At 39.9% G+C, this 20,579-nt stretch overlaps 1 protein-coding gene across 6 annotated transcripts in view; it reads left to right on the forward strand.

The window, feature by feature from the left end:
* Positions 1-20,579, forward strand: part of SDCCAG8 (SHH signaling and ciliogenesis regulator SDCCAG8) — a 244,051-nt gene that overhangs the window by 170,924 nt on the left and 52,548 nt on the right. The window lies entirely within an intron of this gene.

A 20,579-nucleotide genomic window follows, 5' to 3' on the forward strand; every position in this document is an offset into this window, starting at 1 on the left:
ACTAATAGCATTGCTAGAGTCAGAACTTGACTACAAACAAAACCTTCACTTCTTTCTGGTGGTGTTACTTTGAGCAAGTCACTTAAGTTCTCTGAGTGACTGTTTCTTCACCTATATATTGGCGCTAATCATATCTACTTTGCATTTTGATGGAAAGATCAAATATAATATGGCAAAGCACATGGCTCATAAAGGCCACCCACTAAATGTCATCAATAATTATTATTCTCTTTTTCTAGATGAAGAAATTCGGCTCAGAGAGGCTAATAGGTTTGCTCAAAGTGACAGATGGAATAAGTGGTAGAGTTCAGACTTGAATCTTGATCTTTTGACTCCAAAATCCTTTTCTTTTTGTGCAGTAATGGGGATTTTTTTTTTGGCAATAAACACAGCCTCTTACTATTTTTTATCCATGTGCCATTTCTCACTTCTGTGTGATAATGGATTCCCTGGGCAGAAAATAATCTCAGTATTTCACAGCAGACAGTGAATAGGTTTCTGTAGACTTGGACTTCCACATGACAACCGCATGCACGATGATAGCAGCCACCCTTCCAGTGGACACGGTTCGCGTGGCCTCCAGCTCGGCATCCCCACACCATTTCCCAGCCATCCATGCCTTCTCTGTTTCAAAAACAGTTCTTGATATAATTGAAGGAAATGAAAATATTTATAGACTCCTTGTATTTTTTTAAATGTAAAGTAAGCATATTAGCCTGGGGTGGGGGGGAGGTATTTTTACGTTGATTACTTGCTTTATTGAATGAAGACAGGCAGTCAGATGATGGCACTGCTTGTCAGTTATCAAAATACCAAAATATGGATATACTTGCAAAGTAATAATTATTCATTCACTATTAAAATGTTTACTTAAGCCCAGGCACTTCTGTAGGCCAGGGGTCTGCAAACGTTTTCCGTAAAGGGCCAGAGAGTAAATATTTCGGACTTTGCAGGCCACACGTGGTCTCCGTGGCATAGTCTTCCTTGTTTTGTGTTTTTTACAACCCTTGGAAAAAGTAAAGACCATTCTTAGCTAGAGGACCAACAAAATGAGCCAGAGGATTTGGCCATTGGGCCAGCCTTTGCCCCAGTCCTGTGCACCTGGGGCATCTTTCCATTTATTTTCTTACATTTGTGTATTGCTTTAGAGTTCCTAGAATGCTCTCACACATAGTACCTTATGTACCTTGAAGCAACCTTGAAAGTAGCTGCATTTATCATCTCCATTTCCAGATGGAGAACTAAGCCTAAGAAAGACAAACGTGCCGAATGAAGGTCAGGTGGCAAATTAATGGTTCGTTCATTCAACATTGATTGATTGATTGATTGATTGCTGCTGTGTGTCACATTTTCTACCACATGCTGGAATAAAATAGCAAAGTAGATATAGTTCCCACTCTAATGGAGTATACATCCTTATAGGGAAGATGGATATTAGCAAAAGAATTTCATAACTGTCTAATTAATTATAGTTGACCCTTAAACAACACAGATTTGAACTGTTTGGGCCCATTTATACACAGATTCTTCTCAATAAATTTATTGGAAAATTTTTTGGAGATTTGCAACAATTTGAAAAAACCTGCAGACAAACCATGTAGCCTAGAAATAATGAAAAGAAGTTTTAAATTTAAGTATGTCATGAATACATAAAACATCTGTAGATACTGGTCTTTATCATTGACTACCATAAAATATATGCAAATCTATTATAAAAAGTTAAAATTTATCCAAACTTACACACACAAACACAGATCATACATGGTACCATCTGCAATTGAGAGAAATGTCAAATGTGAAGGTGCAGTATTAGATCGTAACTGCATGAAGTTAACTGTAGCACACACTGTACTACCGTGATAATTTTGTAACCACCTCCTGTTGCTATTGCGAGGAGCTCAAGTATTGTAAGTATCCACTGAAAACGCTGTGTGGACTAAATCGTCTGCATGTGAACAGTTTCTCTCTCCAGTAAATTGCTTATTGCAATAACAAGTGATCTATTGCAGCTCTTGTGTATTTTTCATCATGTTTAGTGCAATACATAAACCTTGAATAACACCGTGGGACCCATACGAAGTGCCACTAGTGATGTTGGAAGTACTTCCAAGAAGCAGAGAAAAGTCATGACGTTACAAGCAAAAGTTGCATTGCAGGATATGTAGCTTAGATTGAAGTTTGCAGCTGCAGCCGCCTGTCATTTCAGATGATTCATCTTATAAACAGACATTATAAACTTATGGCATCAATATATAACAGTACAGTACTGTAAAAGTATTTTCTCTTATGATTTTCTTAATATTTTTTCTAGCTTACTTTATTGTAAGAATATAGTGTATAACACATATAACATATAAATATGTGTTAATCAACCATTTATGTTATCAATATAAGGCTTCTGGTCAACAGTAGGCTGTTGGTAGTTGAATTTGAGAGGAGTCAAAAGTTATGCATGGATTTTTTGACTGTACAGGGGGTTGATGCTCCTAACCCCCATGTTGCTCAAGGGCCAACTGTACAGTAATGACCAGTTCTATGAAGGAGAAATATATTTTGTGGTACAAGTACATTTAATAAGGGAACTTGTTTTTTAAAAAATTATTTTTAAGAGAATATCTCACTCTGTCGCCCAGGCTGAAGTGTAACCTTGAACTCCTGGGCTCAAGTGATCCTCCCTCCTCAGCCTTCCAAGCAGGTAGGGCTACAGGTACATACCACCATGCTCTGCTAATTTTTTTTTTTTTTTTTTTTTTTTGAGACAGAGTCTCACTCTGTCGCCCAGGGTGGAGTGCAGTAGCGCGATCTCGGCTCACTGCAACCTCCGCCTCCTGGGTTCAAACAATTCTCCTGCCTCAGCCTCCGGAGTAGCTGGGATTACAGGCGCCTGCCACCACGCCCAACTAGTTTTTGTATTTTTTAGTAGAGACAGGGTTTCCCCATGTTGGCCAGGCTGGTCTCAAACTCCTGACCTGAGGTGATCCGCCTACCTCGGCGTCCTCTGGGATTACAGGCATGAGCCACCATGCCTGGCCTAATTTTTAAAACTTTTTGTGGGTACTAGGTCTTGCTATGTTGTCCAGTCTGGTCTTGAATTCCTCGCCTCAAACCATCCTCCCGCCTCGGCCTTCCAAATCTCTGGGATTACAGGTGTGTGAGCCACTGTCCCCAGCAGGGCACTTAACATTGATTAAGAAAAGCTTCAATGAGAACATGACATTTGAATCGGTAAGCAGTGGGATTAGATCAGGAATTGGCAAACTATCTGGCCCTCTCCTAAAAAATTTTACTGACTCCTGTTCTAGAGAAAGAAAATCTATAAAATGGAAGTTCCTGAGATAAGAAAGCATAGTACTGGAGGAAGAGCAAGAACTGTGTGTCCAACATAAAGGAAAACAGAAAGTGTGGCATACAATGAGGTTGGAGAGGTAGGAAAGGGCTGGACCTAAAGGCAGGGTCTTTATGTTTTTGTTTTTATTTTATTTTATTTATTTATTTTTTGATACGGAGTCTCTCTCTGTCGCCCAGGCTGGAGTGCAGTGGCGCAATCTTGGCTCACTGCAAGCTCCGCCTCCCAGGTCCACGCAGTTCTCCTGCCTCCCGAGTAGCTGGGACCACAGGCGCCCACCACCACGCCCGGCTAATTTTTTGTATTTTTAGTAGAGACGGGGTTTCACCGTATTGGACAGCATGGTCTGGATCTCCTGACCTCGTGATCCGCCAGCCTCGGCCTCCCAAAGTGCTGGGATTACAGGCGTGAGCTACCGCACCGGGCTGGTCTTTATGTTTTTATCATGGACCTTTAAATTTATCTTGTTACTAATGGGAAGAAATCAAAAGATTTTTTAAAAAATAGAGGAGATGTGATCAGATTTGCATTTAAAAATTGTATTCTAACTCCACAATAGATAACAGATTGGAACAGAGCCATCGTGTTTGCTCAAGACCAGTTATGGGCCGGGCGTGGTGGCTCACGCCTGTAATCCCAGCCCTTTGAGAGGCCGAGGTGTGTGGATCATGAGGTCAGGAGTTCGAGACCAGCCTGGCCAACATGGTGAAACCCCGTCTCTACCAAAAATACAAAAATTAGCTGTGTGTGGTGGCGAGCGCCTGTAATCCTAGCTACTCGGGAGGGTGAGGCAGGAGAATCACTTGAACCCGGGAGGCGGAGGTTGCAGTGAGCCAAGATGGCACCACTGCACTCAAGCCTGGGTGATAGAGCGAGACTTTGTCTAAAAAATCAAACAAACAGAAAAACGATTAGGGAGTTTTTGGACTTAGTCAAGCAATGATGATGCTTGGACTGGAATGCTAATATTGGTGACAGAAATAAACACTGGCGAAATGTGTAGGAAGTAGAACCAGCAGGAGTTACTTGATTGGCAGTGCTGGGTGGAGAAGAGGAGCGTGTCAAGGACGACACCCATATTTCTGACCTGAGCAATGGGTGCCTAGTGCTGCTACTTACTGAGAACTAGGGAACACTCTAAAGAAGCTGGTTTGGGGTTGAGATGGCCTGGGTTTGGGATGAGATCAAGCGTTACGTTTTGGCCATGAATTTAATGTTCAAATGATGGTAAAGATCATTCAAGTTGTAAAAACGAAGAAAGTTAAATTTTCAACTGGTGGTTTGGAACCCCTGGTGTCCACAAAGGCAGTCCAGGGAATTCATGTTAAAGATGGCAGTGCCATTTTTTTTTTCTGTTTTTATTTTAAAGTAAGTATCAATTCACCTATTTCTCCCTAGAAAATAGAGCTGTGTGAAAATCCCCCAGTGTATACAGAGTGGACAAGCCCCAGAGCCAGTGGAGCACTGCTGAGCACCTGTGTCCTCTCATCTGGGCGTTCACTGTCACCGACTCCCAGTAATCCCGGGGGTTTCGTCAATTACACAGTTTTACAGGAGTTTTTTCCCCCTTTTGTATGGTAATATATTGTTTAAAGTATATCCATAAAAACCATTGTCTAAAGACATGCAGCTTCTGATCGAAGTGTAACAATCTAGTAATGAGTTTAAAATAGGTAATTCTTCTATAAACTAGATTCAGGATGATCTTTACCAAATCCGTAAGTTCTATGTTTGTCATAGAAATTTGATTCTTCAAAAGCCAATGTTAAAAATACAAATTATAATATTGATTTCTATCTAATTTGACATTTTAATTTGGGGAATTAACACTATTTACTATTTTCAGAAAAGTGCTTGAAAATAGAAGCCTGAAATCTTAATCTTTATCTCATAATTTAAAAACAAAAAGAGTCCTTTGCAGGAACATGAATGGAGCTGGAGGCTATTATTCTTCAAACTAGTGCAGGAACAAAAAACCAGATACCGTATGTTCTCATTGTAAGTGGGAGCTAAATGATGAGAACACATGGATACTTAGAGGGGAACAGAAGACACAGGGGCCTGCCTGAGGGGAGGAGGTGGAAGAAGGGAGAGGATCAGGACAAATAACTAATGGGTACTCGGCTTAATACTAGGGTGACAGTTATAATCTCTTCACAATCTCCCATGATACAAGTTTACCTATATAACATACCTGCACGTATACCCCTGAACTTAAAAGTTTTAAAAAAATGGGAAAATTAAAAAAAGAGAGAAAGCTGTAACAGTAGCAGTTGAATTTTATATTCAAAAAGCAAACATTTCAAAACAAATCATGAAATTGTTTTTATTTGTTATTGATTTTATAACATGGGTTTAATTTCAAATCTATGTTTTAGAGTATCTTTTGGTGTGAAGACGTTATTAGCCAATGGTGCCTTTTTCTTTCATAATTAATTCACTATGGATTTAATTTATGTAAATGAAATAGTGGCATTATTTATTGCACAGGAAAATTAAAATTTTATGTTACAAAGTTCAAACTTATGCTTATTTTAAATGAAATGCTTTTACTTAAAAAGTTCCTCTTTATTATATATAATAATGAGATGATTTAATAAATTCCATGTGTTTCTATGGAGGGGGTTTGAGAGTCAAAAGAAATTTGGAGACGCTGAGGTAGACAAAGTGCGGCGTATAAGGTTCCTGAGAAGAGAGGTGGGTTGGGATACCAAGCACTGAGCAGAAAATGATAGTGAACTGGGCGAAGGGTCACCTCCTCCGTTGCCATCGCAGCAGCTGTAGCAGAAGAGATTATATGAGCTGATAAATGCAGGCTTATGGATACGGTGCTGGAAAGGTAACCTGATGCCAGACTTAGTTTATTCTGTGTTTATTGGGCATCTGTTTTGTACCAGTCACTGTGCTAGGCCTGGAGACACAAAGATGTAAAAGATATACTCTGCCTTGGAGAACTGCGTGAACTCGGAGGGCGGAGGTTGCAGTGAGCCGAGATCGCGCCACTGCACTCCAGCCTGGGCAACAGAGTGCAACTCCGTCTCAAAAGAAAAAAAAAAAAAAAAAAAGGATATACTCTGCCGCACTCTCGTGGCTGCAGACTTCCTTTCTGTTTGGGCTGGCCTAAGTATTGCAATCCTGCAGTGCAGAGTAGCCATGGCAGCACCTGCCATCTCCTGGGAGGTCACTCCTGGCTGCTGCCATGCCTCCAGAAACCCAGATGCAAGAAGAAAGTCTCTCCTGAGGAACCAGCCTCCCTTGGCAGGCTAGACAGGAGTTGGCTGCCCTTAAAGTGTTTATTTGTTTAAGTCTCCTGTTCTCTCTGTTTTATATAGACCTAAAGGTCTGTTATTGAGATTTGGAGTGTATGGTCAAAAACTTCCACTGCCCCTGGGGCAGTCTTGAGTTGTTCATCCTTTGCTTAGAAAAGTGATCAAGGTGTAGACCCAAGCTCCCTGGGTAGTGATGACCAGAAGACTCACCCCGAGTATAGGTGTTTTTGTCAATTCTTATGGACAGTTTCAAAATCTATTAAGTAAAAAATTTAAAAGTACTAAAATTTGGTTTTTATAAGCCAAAACAACTTACTGCGAATGCTAATGCAATATTCTACTGGCCGCCTCCACACCCGGCAGAGCTTGTGTGATGTAACATAAGCGCTGCTAGTTTGACTTTTGATGATTTGGGGAAAGGATTCTAATTATTACTAGGTTATCAGCGTTGTTCTGAGGTCATCTTCATTTTCAAATGCTGCTCTTCTTGCTTTTAATTATAAATTGCTGTTAATTTAGCTTCATCACAATAATTTAGTTTGTTTTGGATTGTTTTGTTAACCCCCTACGGTGCAGTATTGCATACTTGCATCAGTGGTATAATGGTTTCCCAGTAACTACATTTTAAGTCCCGTATGACTTGTAATACAGAAATGAATCACCCATTATCTCTTTTGCTAAAGCAGATATATGATCCCTGCCTCCTGCCACCACCTCAGCAATTTGCTGTAGAGAGGCAGTCCTTTGATTTGCTCCTTGCAAATGTTTGTTTTTAAGTAACTGATAACATGCTATTAAGAGCAAATTAACAAAATTAGATTTATATGCCATTATTTTATAATATAAAATTATACTCTTATGAAGAAATGGTAAGAGATGTATATGTTGCTAGAAAAGAATCTTATTACATCTTGTTTTGAAATGTTCCGTTATCCCTAGAGTTTGTTTCACTGGACCACTGACATGTTTGGATTAGGGAGGCTGTCTCATCTAAGGGGTCTAACAACAGACAATCGAATACTAGAAATCACATAGAAAAGTTTATCCTTTTCAAATTATTCAAAAATTGTAAGCCAATTGGGGTTCAAACAGTCCCTTTGTAATGAGCCAGTTGTATGCATTGAGAACTCCCTGTGAGGACTGGAAGTCACGTTTGTTTATACTGTGGTGGGAAGGCCAGATCAGACTGCTGCCCTCCCAATAAGTTGGGAGCTTTGCCACTCTGTGGGAGTTAGAATTTTGATCTGGGAATGGATAATGAGTTATTTAAAGCAGGCTGTGCATTTACCTTAGCTGGGACAAGGCAGCTGCTATAACTGATTACCAGGGAGAACATTAAGTGGGAAAAGGAGGCAACAAAACAAAGTTGGGACAATGCCAAAGAAATGATGTTACACTTTTGCCTGGGATAGGCCCACTACCCAGGAAAAAGAAAAAGACACCCTTTGATTTATTCATCAAATATTTACCGAGTGCTTATACACTGCTGATGTGCTTGGGATACATCAAAGGACACGTAGACAGCCTTGTCCTTATGGAACTTACATGCTTTAAGCTACCTTCAAGATCTAGTCCTTTGTTTTTAAGACCTAAAGCCAAAAGTAGAGAGATAGTATGCATCGTACGTAACAGCATCCTTCCTAAAACCAAGTTCTCTGGGCTTTCCTCAGTTTACTTCTTTGTAGCTGCTTTGTAGCTCCATGGGCTAATTCCTTAATCTTAAACTTCATCTTCCTCACTTTCTTGATCTCCAAAATGCTACCTTGTAGGTTGTGAAAACTGCCTAAAATAATCCACAAAAAGGTCTTTAGAATAGTTCCTGGCACAACGTTAGTGCTTAACAAATGTTTCACATTGCTATTCATTCATATCCTTCATTCAACATATTTATTAGGCCCTTAATACATGCTGAGCTCTGTTCTGGATTCTGGGATTGCAGCAGGAACTTCAGAGACTTAGATTCTAAATGGTTGTTTATTTATATTATAGGTTAAATTGACTCTTGTGAGTTAGTCTGTGAACCAAAATACCATGTTTACATAATGTTATTTCTAAGGCAAAATGCCTTTTGAATTTTCAACAACTGATTTATGGAACGACATTTTGGACCACGACTTGGGATATGCCTATGATGTTCTAAGTGTTTGTGAACATGTGAATGTGTGTGTGTGTGTGTGTCCTCTATTCGATGGTGAAAATTTTCAGTATGAGCCCCAAGTAAAATTTCAAGAGGGATATATCTATCTAGTTGCTTCTTTACAATCGTATTTTCAGCATAGTTAGGAATAAGGAACACTCTAAAAAATTTTTTTATGCAAGTTTTAGGTTCACAGCAAAATTGAAAGGAAGGTACAAAGATTTCCCATATACCCCATACATGCATAGCCTCCCGCATTATCAGTATCCACCACCAGAGTGGTATAATTGTTACAATTGATAAGCCTTCATTGGGACATCATAATCACCCAAAGGCCATAGTTTACATTAGGGTTCAGCCTTAGTTTTGTACATTCTGTGGTTTGGACGAACACATGATATATCTCTACCATTGAACATGCTCTGTATGATATCATATCATGTTTATCAACTTTTTTTTTTTTTTTTTGAGCAGTGGCAAGGTTTTTTGTGAAGAGCAAAAGAACAAAGCTTCCACAGCATGGAAGGGGTCCCGAGCGGGTTGCCCCAACTTTTTTTCATGGGTCGTACCTTTGGTGTTGTAGCTATTGTCCTACCTGTGGTCACCTAGATGTTCTCCTATGTTATTTTCTATAAATTTTATAGTTTCGTGTTTTACAGTTAAATCTGTGATCCATTTCAAGTTACGTTTTGTGAAGGGTGTAAAGTCTCTGTCTAGATTCATTCTTTTTTTGCATATGGATATCTAGTTGTTTTAGCACTATTTGTTAAAAACTCTATTTTTGCTCTATTCTACTACTTTTGCTGTTTGTCAAAGATCAGTTAACTACATTCATCTGAGAGGAACACTCTTTTTAAATTCCTAATTGTAACTTCATTAAGTCTTTAGGAACAGAAAAACAAAAGGCTAACAGAGTTTAACTTCTACTCCTGGGAGGGAAAATTTTATATTAGTACTAGGAAATAACTAATGCCTGTTTGGAGGCAAAAATTCTGACAAACCATCTATAACCTGCCAATTTTAATATTTTTATAATGTTTATTATTTTTGCTTTTTCTACAATTAACTGTGGATAATACAAAAATATTCAATTAATAATAATTGCTACACCCATGTTAGCATTGTACAAAGAACCACAAGAGGCTGTGAGTATTAAACACCTATCTGTGGAAAGGTCTTTTCGCAAAAAGACAGAATAGGTAAATTTCTGTTCTTATATCAGAGGGGAAAAAAGGTACATTTCAGTGCTGAAAGTCCCTGAAAAATTTCTTCCATATATCCAATGTAAACCTCTTTCAGTCAATTCACTCTCTAAAGCTGATTTTCTCTCTTTGGTTTATCTTTTTGGTAGATCCAGAACTGATTAGAATTTTCATTATCTTAACTCTTAAGACTTAAAATTTAACTTAGAACTTTTAAATTAAATCTGATTTTTCATTTCTGTAGTTGTGTTTGTTGCTTTGCCTTAGACTCTACAATTTTAAACATTGAATATTAAATGTGAAAACCTAGATTGCCTGTCTTTTGCTTTATTTTGCACCTTCTAACTTATTAATGTATCCCTGTATTTATTAACATGCATTCAGCACTAGGTACAAAAGGAAAAAAGACATGATATTTCCCCTTTAGAAGCTTCGAATCCAGTGCGGGAGGTATACGGTAATCATACAGGTGTAATAGACTACGGTAAGAGTAAACCCAGGATGCTCTCTGTGTACATCAGACTGGCATGTCACCCAGGTTTGGAGGTACAGGGCACAATTCTTTTGAGAAATAATATCTATCGTCAAATCCTAAAATGACATGGAGGAATTCTTTTTTTTTTTTTTTTTTGTATTGAAACAGAGTCTCGCTCTGTCGCCCAGGCTGGAGTGCAGTGGTGCCATCTCGGCTGACTGCAAGCCCCACCTCCCGGGTTCACGCCATTCTCCTGCCTCAGCCTCCCGAGTAGCTGGGACTACAGGCACCCGCCACCAGGCCTGGCTAATTTTTTTTGTATTTTTAGTAGAGACGGGGTTTCACCGTGTTAGCCAGGATGGTCTCGATCTCCTGACCTCGTGATCCGCCCGCCTCGGCCTCCCAAAGTGCTGGGATGACAGGCGTGAGCCACCGCGTCCGGCCAGAAAGCTGTTTTTTAAACATTAACCATCACACCACTAATGGATTTTGCTTTTGCCCTCCCTCAGTGACAGTTCACATTTTTCCTAGGATCAGGGCAACAGGTTTCCACCCATTTCCCAGAGGAAGACAGCTTTTGCCTCTCACCTTCTCCTGGAGGCAGTGGGCCTTTTTCCTGAGAAGGTTTCTTGCCCCTCCCCCGGGAGCTTGAGGCGTTTGCTTCATATGAAAAAATAGTCTAGTCAGTGGGCAGTGGATGTCCTCATGCCCCACCTCGGAGGGGGAAGCTGCTCGTGGGTTTTTTTGCCCCGCCTTCAATCTTTCCTGTGCGCATCCGGGGGGAGGAAGGCTGTGGAAAAGTGTTCAATAATGAGTGCAGGTTTCTCTTGTCCTCTTGTGTTTGGGGCTCCCATGGATTCCAGGCTGGCACACTAGCCCACACTTTAAGAACCCATTAAAAGGTTGGCTGCTTTCCTTTTATCTACTTTTACAGTGGCCATTTCCCCTTTCCTTGCTATGCCAAAGATAAAACGGTTCAATTGTTCTGCCTTCAGAGAGTCATGTCACCTTTTGGAATTTACATCAGCTAGTTACCTTGCAACCTCAGCTCTCTGATTGGCTCAAGAAAAAATATGATTTTGAAGATTATCTGGCTTTTGCCCATTGTTAGAGTGGGAGTGATTGTGTGTGTGTGTGTGTGTGTGTGTGTGTCTATGCACACGTGCGCGTGCACCTGCCTACCTCCTAGTAGGAGGTAGACCCCTCAGAAGTTAGACCTGGAGGAGTCTTTCTCTTGAACCATGTAAAAATGTTTAGGATTTCTTCTGAGCACTCTGAGAGGGGCCTTTGAAGGGTTTTAAACAAGGGAAAGACATTTCTGTGATGTTAGCGTTTTCAGTACCATGAGGCTTTTCTCATACTTGGTGAGCCAGAGTGGCTCCTGATAACTTTCTGCTGATCATGGCCTATCTTTAACTTTGCAGTTTGTTTCTGATCTCTGAGTTTATTGACATTTTCACCAGTGATTTTGCTCGCATTATCCAACTACTTCCATTCCTATGACATTCCTCTGGTTTGTATCTTTCCATATCTGTTTTAAGATATGTTAACTAACCAAGTGAGTGACTTCAATGAAGATGCTGCCAATTCCTTCATTCCTACTGTCTTAGAACCTGTGCAAGGATTAAATATGAATGTTTATTTTGGCTGTAGTCCCTGGGCAGTGAGAGTGAGGGAATGGAAGGTGAGGCGTGGAAGAATGGAAAACAATGTGTGATAATGTGTTACAATACTGGTGACTGCTTCTTCTTTTATTTTTATTTTATTTTTTATTTTTTGAGACAGGGTCTCACTCTGTCACCCAGGCTGGGGTGCAGTTGTGCAGTCATGGCTCACTGCAGCCTCAACCTCCTGGATTTAAGTGATCCTCCCACCTCAGCCTCCCAGGTAGTTGGGACCTCAGGTGCATGCCACTGCACCCAGTTTACCATTTTAAATTTAATCATCTGGCCGGCCGCAGTGGCTCATGCCTGTAATCTCAGCACTTTGGGAGGCCAAGGCAGGTGGATCACCTGAGGTCAGGAGTTCAAGACCAGCCTGGCCAACATGGTAAAACCCTGTCTCTACTAAAAATACAAAAAATTAACCAGGTGGGATGGTGGGTGCCTGTAATCCCATCTACTCCAGAGGCTGAGGCAGGAGAAACGCTTGAAGCCAGGAGGCGGAGGTTGCAGTGAGCCAAGATCACGCCACTGCACCCCAGCCTGGGCAACAAGAGTGAGACTCCATCACACACACACACACACACACACACACACACACACACACACACATCATTGGAGCTATTCTGTAGAGATAGTAGTATTGCCTTCTGTTTCTAGAGGGGGAAATTGAGGCTCTGAGAAGTTATATAACTTACCCAACATCACATAGCTAATATGTGGCATTGTTAGTCTAGGAATGCAGGGCTATCTGATGTCAGAGCCCATGCTTTTAACTACCTGAGTTTCCCCAGCAAGCCAGCCTCTCAGCGGGGCTTGGACTACAAGTGACAGTGTTTGTTACATCTAAGTCAAATTCTCTCTCTACTAGGGGCCTTTCAGGCTAATGTGTCTTAGAAAGCTTCCCAGGTTGTAGCAAGACTAAATGAGCTTTTAAAAAGACTTTTTAATTGCTAATGGAGCATATGGTGCATAATGGTTAATGATATGCAGTTTCCGGAGCTTTCTGCCTGGGTTCTAGTGCCAGTCCCACCACTGAACCTGCTGTTGACCTTGTGCAAGTTACTTCACCCCTGGGTGAGTCAGTGTCTTCATTATAGGAGAGAAAAACGGAAAAGGTCCCACCTCATAGGGTTATGAGGCTTAAATGAGCTTAGCATTTGCCTGGCGTGTACAAAACGACGTATGTTTTTGTTAAATAAAATAAGTTCTTCGGTTTTATTCTGCAATTCACACTTAATAGTATATCATTATTAAATTAAAAAAAAAGGAAAAGAAAAACATTAACTAGCAGGTCTTCCTTTAAAACTAAATAAGCTCTGCTGCTAGACAGGACCCTGCTTTTGTCTCAGGAAACACTGAATTTCAGGCTGCCTTTGAGAGGTTTTGTTCCAAGGCAGACCCTTTTCACCTGACTTGGGAAGGGCAGTTCACTTTGCCTGTCGGAGAGCCTATGGGTCAGTTCCAGGAAGAATTCCAGGAATTCTGGGAAATGGCTGGAAGGCATTGACATGGGGTTGGAGCTGTGTGTAAGGCCCTGTAGGCAGCAGTGTTCCAATTGTGCACTTTTGATGTTGCACAAAGGATTGAAATCTAGACTCAGTCAAACATAATGAATTAACTGCTTTGTGGGATACCATGGCTTTTTGACATTTCTTTGGTAATTTTGAACAAAATAACTTCTGAGGTGATTACATAAGGAAAGCAATGCCTTTCGTGCTTTTGAAGAGTGTTTTCCTTTGTTGAGCTGAATGTGTATATTTAAGGGGGAAGAGCAGTTTCGTGCATTGTTTTGGCCGTGTGTAGCATGCAGGCTGCTGGTGATGGGAATTGAGCAGATTAAAGTCAATGTTTGGTTTTGTGATAATATCTTGATGATCTATTCCTGGTGATATTTTCTGGGCTTTTGTTTTCTAGAAATTAATTGGTTTAAAAATGGCCATTATCCATAAAAGAATTTATTTTGTATATGAACATGGGCCAAACCATTTTCTCCTTCTTATCTATGGAAAATAGTCAGCTTTAAGGAGCCGGTATTTTAAAGGCATTTTGTATGAATATAGAAAAACAGCATTAAAGAGGCTTTTGAGTCACTCTTTTCCAACAAATGTAAATTTTAATATTTATATGTTAGGCAAATGTGTCATTAAAAGAAAGTAGGCATCCATCTAGCTGATGTATTGCTGACTCTGGCTGCTAAGTGAAGCTCACACAGTCCTCTGCAAATGTGGGTACAGGGGATGGATGGGTATTAAGATGCCAAACGTGCTGTTCATGCTGAATTGTTTTCTAACCAGCCCATGGTACTTCTCTGCTATTTTTTTATCTTTTTCTTTGTCTGATACTCCCCTCAATTTTACATTACTTTCCTGCTCTCTTTTCACGGTCCTGTTGCTTTGGTTCTTCATTTCTAGAATACTCTCTTCATTTCTAGAAGGAAATCTGTGGTCAGAATTTATGCTCTTCTACAGTAAAATGGTAAATGGTGTGCCTAGGAGTAGCATTTTCTTCAAATTCATATGGCTAGATTTTATTACCTAAAATCTGAGATGTACTAATTAGGGAACAAAGAATTTTAATCAAAAATCTAGTTGTCAGAAAACTCTAGGTTTGTTAAAATATATATATGTAAATATAGGTACAGATATATCATACAGACTTTGGAGTATCTTAACATTGAGATTGTTTTATACAAGTCAGATCAGCACATAGGAGGAGTCACAACTGTCATTGATCATAATTTATGACCCTTTCTAGACTTTCTGAATGTTGTTATAGAAAGAAATGTCTTATATTGAGCTTGATTCTTTAACATCATAGAAATTCATTCAGAAAAGTTTGATGAATAACAGAAGAAATCTTTATTCACTGGCCCAAAGCTTAGTTTATATTCTGTGCTGTTATAACATCTATATGTGTGTCTATATTAGTACTATCAGCTCTCTGTGGCAAAAAGAGGCTCTTTAAAGATGGAAACTATTATAATAAAACTTCGTATTTTTACAAAATACCTCAAATTGGTAGCATTCAAAATGAATTCATGTTGGTTAATAATGAGGTGTACATTTTGCTGTGTAAGTGAATAGATCATCATATTACCCCAAGAGGTGATTTTTACATCTATATCAACAGTGTTTCTTGAGATTGAGGAATTGTGAAAAGGATTTTAGTAGAAGGGTGGCAATTTGCAGCAGATGTGTATCTGCACCTCTGGTATCACTGGTTGTAATTGAACAATAAAAATGTTGCAACCGTCTGGGTAGCAAGATGGCTAAGGTCGGCTCTTGCCTGTGATAGTAAGAATGGAGGAGATTTGTTTGACGTCATAGACTCTGGATTATAAGAAGGAGACATGTCAAGCAGTAACTACGTGGCATGTGGCTGTGATGCGTCTACAGCCAACCTCCTGGTGTGGCCTTCCCAAAGACAAGGAAGCGTCCCATTCAAGTGTGTCTCAGTGCTTGCATGACACAGTGCCTCTGGATTTTACGTCAGTTCTGCCTTCAGTGTAAAGCCCTGATTTTCATAGATAACCTAATCTGTAGGGAAAAAGAACATTAAAAAAAAAAAAGTATAGCCACAAAAGTTCTTTCCACTCATGTGTGGATCTTTCCAGTTTTTTCAGACAGAAACCAAATGACAGCCTCACAGTCACAGAATCTTCCAACACTGAAAGTTAAAGCTGATTTCTTCTTCATGGAGAAAAGCTTACAAACCTTTTCAGACTACTTCTTTAGTGTCAATTCTTGGAACCACATCTTCTTCCTGATTTAAATGTTTGGCTGTGTACCTCCAGCTAGAGCTATTAGAGTTTTTGCTGATTTGCTTGGCATATCTCCAGCAAAATAGTCCATTAAAATTCAAATCCTTTCCCAATAATTGAGACAATCAATTTACATTAAACAAGGCACAAATATAATTTTATGTACAATTTAAATTCTATAGAAAATAATCAGTATGCAATAAAGAGGGACACTTATTTTGATGCAAAGAGATGTTTTTCTAGTCTGCATTAAACAAATCTTTCATATTTTCAAAATAGTTCCCTCATTATCTTTGTGTAGAGGAGCTCTATTGTGTTTTATTTTGATGTAGGAACAAGTGTGTGTCCATGGCTGCATGTTTGATAAGCAGTGTAACTTTCTCTCAGTGACATGTAAAGGGAAAGGTTTGAGATAGAATAAGGAAAGTATTTGCTTGCTATTTAACTTGGAACAATTCATACAAAAAGGGCGAAGAAGATGCATGGGGAATTTATTGCCTTTGTACCAGTGTTAGTGAAATGGGCATTGTTTGTTCATCTTCACCTGTTTATGATACACCAGGTGGTTGTTGCTCTGCCAGAGGTTGTGTGTTAGGTCCTAGGCAAATCACTCAATGGGACTTGGGAAGGTTGCATAGGATGGGGGCCATGTGCACACACATAATTGTGTGCCTTAGTGCAGAAGAGTTCCTGGGAAAGTTTTAAAGCCCCAGCAGGTAACCTCGCAAGGCAGCTAGACCCCACCAGTGTGCCTGAATCCTCCACAGTTCTCATTTGTAAGCTCTTAATGAGACTGGTATTGTCGGTCAGGAAATCTAGAACACTGGAGAAATATTATTAGGAAGAATATAGTAAAAATAATGACAAGATCGAAAACAAATCCTGTCAGAGCCCAAGAATAAATTTGGCTTCCGCTTGCTGTGTCTGTCTGTTTCCATAATGGTCCAGAATAGAAACCGGATGTTTAAAATCTCTCTCCTTTTCACATGCTCTCCTCCCCTCCTGTCTTCCTTCCTCTTCAGTATTAGTAGACTTACTATTTTTATTATTTTTTATTTATATTCCTAGTTTTCAATATTTGCCATTTGTGTGGATAACACATTAATTTTTAATGAAATATTTTCAGACTCTTGGAACTCTTGGAATAGCTGAATCATAAAAGAAAACTTGAAATTGATATAGACTCCAAGGCAGCACACAAACTGAAAATTACGCTTGTTTTTATTCTTCCCACTGACAAATGACAAATGGTTATTTGAAAGGATCATGTGTACTTAGATTTAAACTTCTTATGTTTCTATATGAGCCTAGTTTGTATAATTTTTGTGGCACAGAAGGTAATTCAGACACCATTTTAATTAATAATTAAAATGAAAGAAGCAGCAAAACAATATGTGAGGTAGTGAGCTCCAGTAATTTTCTTTTTATCTAGAAATACTTATTTTTGACAAGCCACATTGCTAGTAAAGGAATTCAAGTGTGATTTAGATTACGTCATAGGCTTAACTTTATTTTAGTTCTGTTGCGGCACTAAAGTTTTTTTGTTTGTTTGTTTGTTTTGTTTTTTTTTTTGGGATGGAGTCTCGCTCTGTTGCCCAGGCTGGAGTGCGGTGGTGTGATCTTGGCTCACTGCAACCTTCACCTCCCGGGTTCAAGTGAGTCTTCTACCTCAGCCCCCTGAGTAGCTGGGACTACAGGCACATGCTGCCATGCCCAGCTGATTTTTTCTATTTTAGCAGAGATGGGGTTTCACCATGTTGCCCAGGCTGGTCTCAGGCTGGTCTCAAACTCCTGAGCTCAGGCAGTCCGCCTGCCTCAGCCTCCCAAAATGCTAGGATTACAGGCGTGAGCCACTGCGCCTGGCCAGATCTAAAGATCTGAAAGAAAGTGGCATTTGTTTCTTTGGGTAATTTATTTCCACCAATCAATAATTGTTGTTAGTGAAATTAAAGTTAATACTGAATATTATTTAATTTTATACTGCATGGTATTCTCAGAAATGCAACTTTGTAATCCACTTTGGAACTGTAAATTAATAAGAATAGTTTCTTCTAAAAGTTTGTTTTTTGTTATAGATAGCATGGACATTTAAGATATAACATCTTTTAGATCTTTTCTTATTCTCAAATTATAAGGATATCAATTTCTATTTTATGTTGGCAACTTAAATCTTATTTTAATCATTTATATATGTGGTTACTTTTATATTTTCTTCTTTTAAATTAAAATTCCTAAAAAAGTCTACTTATCTCAAGTAAATTTACTTATTCTCACATTAATAACAAACATATTTTTCCAAATATTATTTTCTAATGTATTTCTAAAGACTAATAAATTTTTAAGGAGCTCTGCCTGTCTTATATGACCCGAGTTATGTAGAATGGCATTTTATAGAATCAGAAGAGGCCTGAAAGATTATCTAGTCCAACTTCACCTCTTGTCGTCTACTCCCACCCTCCATTCCCATCCCCATCCCCAGCACCACATTTTATAGATAAGAAAACGGAAGCCCAAAGAATACAAGTAATGACTCGAATCCGTTTTCTGACATCAGGTCTAGTGTTTTCTACTGTACCCACTCAATAACTTATATGCTTCCAGAAATAGGGAGGTGGACTAGTACTAATGATGAAAAGGAAAATATACAATGGACATAAATAATCAGATGTTTACCAGAAGCTATTTTGTCCAGTGACCTTGAGACCAGAAGTTGGATGGTTAATTGGAAGGTCAAAAAATACATGACAGGTGATGGATATGTGGGGCTGAGGCATATTTTTTGTGTGTAAGGATCACCTGATTTGGCATGCCATGTCATTTGCCCTGGATAAACAACACCCAAAATACATCTTTTATTGCACCCAATTTTGATTTCTCCAAACTAAGTGAGGACATAAAGACACTTGGGAAACAGCCTTCATGCAGAATTTGCTATTTTAATGGCCCTTGCCCACCAAATCTTTTACATTTATTTCAGGCACACCTAATTGGACAAACTTTTTGTGTTGGGGGGTGGAAATTCAGCTTTGTTGAATGCTTCTAAATCACTCCACTGCGTTTTCATAGAATCAGCAACTCTTTTTTTAACAATCATACTTCTGAATTCAGCAAACATGGAATTACGTTTATGTAAGCAGCACACACAGGCTTGGGAAGAAACATGGCTGACTTTAGGAAGTAGAGCACAACTGTTGGGAGCACAAGCGCCCATTTGTGCTGGTGAGTAGCAGTCATTGGCCATAGCACTGAGTGTGCCGTGGACATCATTCATGTGTTTGACAGAGGGAAAAGGAAAGGGTTAGTTGTTGGGTGATCAGGGTAAGTGGTGCTCCATTTAGAGAGCTTCTACTGTACTTTGGAAGGAACTACCTGAGTCAGACAAGTAAAGATGTATAACATAATAACTGGTTAAGAAGAATGTGCATTGCATTCTCCATGCACTATCTTTCCTCCTTCTTTTTTTAAGACAGGGTCTCACTGTCTTTCTTGCCCAGGCTAGAGTGCAGTGGCACTATCACTGCTTACTGTAGCCTCAACATCCTGGGATAAATTGATCCTTCCACCTCAGCCTCCCGAGTAGCTGGGACTACAGGCATGCACCACCATGCCGGCTAATTTTTGTATGTTTTATAGACACAAGGTCTCACTTTGTTGCCCAGGCTGGTCTCGAACTCCTGGGCTCAAGCCATCTGCCCACCTTGGCCTCCCATTGGGATTATAGGCATGAGCCACTGCACCTGACCAATTTTTTTCTTTGTGTCAGAGAAAGGCCAACTTGGAGGCAGAAGAAAGGGAACTTTATCTGTTTCCTTTCTGCTTTCTCTGTTCCTGGCTTAAGAACATCAGCCTCACCCCACCCAGAAGCTGGGCCAGTGGAGCTTTTATATACTGAGCAAACCATCCATAGCTACTTGGCAATAAAAGCATCGGCCACTGTTCAGCCTGGAGAATATACCTCATGTACAGGTTTTCAGGTGACCTGCTGCCCAGTTGGGGCTGCTTGGGGCTGCAGCCAGGCTTTCTCGGATGGGGACCTGATTGACTCCTTGCATAAAAGTCATGGAAGGACTACTTTCTTAGGAGACTGTATGGCTGAAAATACAAATAGCTTCAAATGGGTTTAGGAAACTCTTGGATTAAGAACCCATGCTTGGCCGGGCACGGTGTCTCACGCCTGTAATCCCAGCACTTTGGGAGGCTGAGGCGGGCAGATCACCTGAGTTCAGGAGTTCAAGACCAGCCTGGCCAACATGGCGAACCCCTGTCTCTACTAAAAATACAAAAATTAGCCAGGCACAGTGGCCGTGTCTGTAATCCCAGCTACTCCAGAGGCTGACAGGAGAGTCACTTGAATTCAGGAGGCAGAGGTTGCAGTGAGCCGAGATCGCGCCACGGCACTCCAGCCTGGGTGACAGAACAAGACTTCGTCTCAAAAAAAAAAAAAAAAAAAAAAAAAAAACCATGCCTCATTCTTAAAAGGCATTATGAATGTATTAAGTCTCATCGCTAAATGAGGAATGAACAAATCAATAGGTAATGAACAACTATTCTCTCTCTAAATTGGGTGAATATAATCCTTCCACTTTTCCTTTTATTTTGGGGGAGGAAGGGGATCTGAGCATCCATTCTATTTTTCTTCCTTAATTAGGTCTTAGTATCTATCAAGATGGTGATTATAGTGTGTGTGTGCCTGCGCACGCACACACACACTATCTTACATAACTGC

The sequence above is a fragment of the Homo sapiens genome, chromosome 1, assembly GCF_000001405.40.
Source record: "Homo sapiens chromosome 1, GRCh38.p14 Primary Assembly".
NCBI classification, from domain to species: domain Eukaryota; kingdom Metazoa; phylum Chordata; class Mammalia; order Primates; family Hominidae; genus Homo; species Homo sapiens.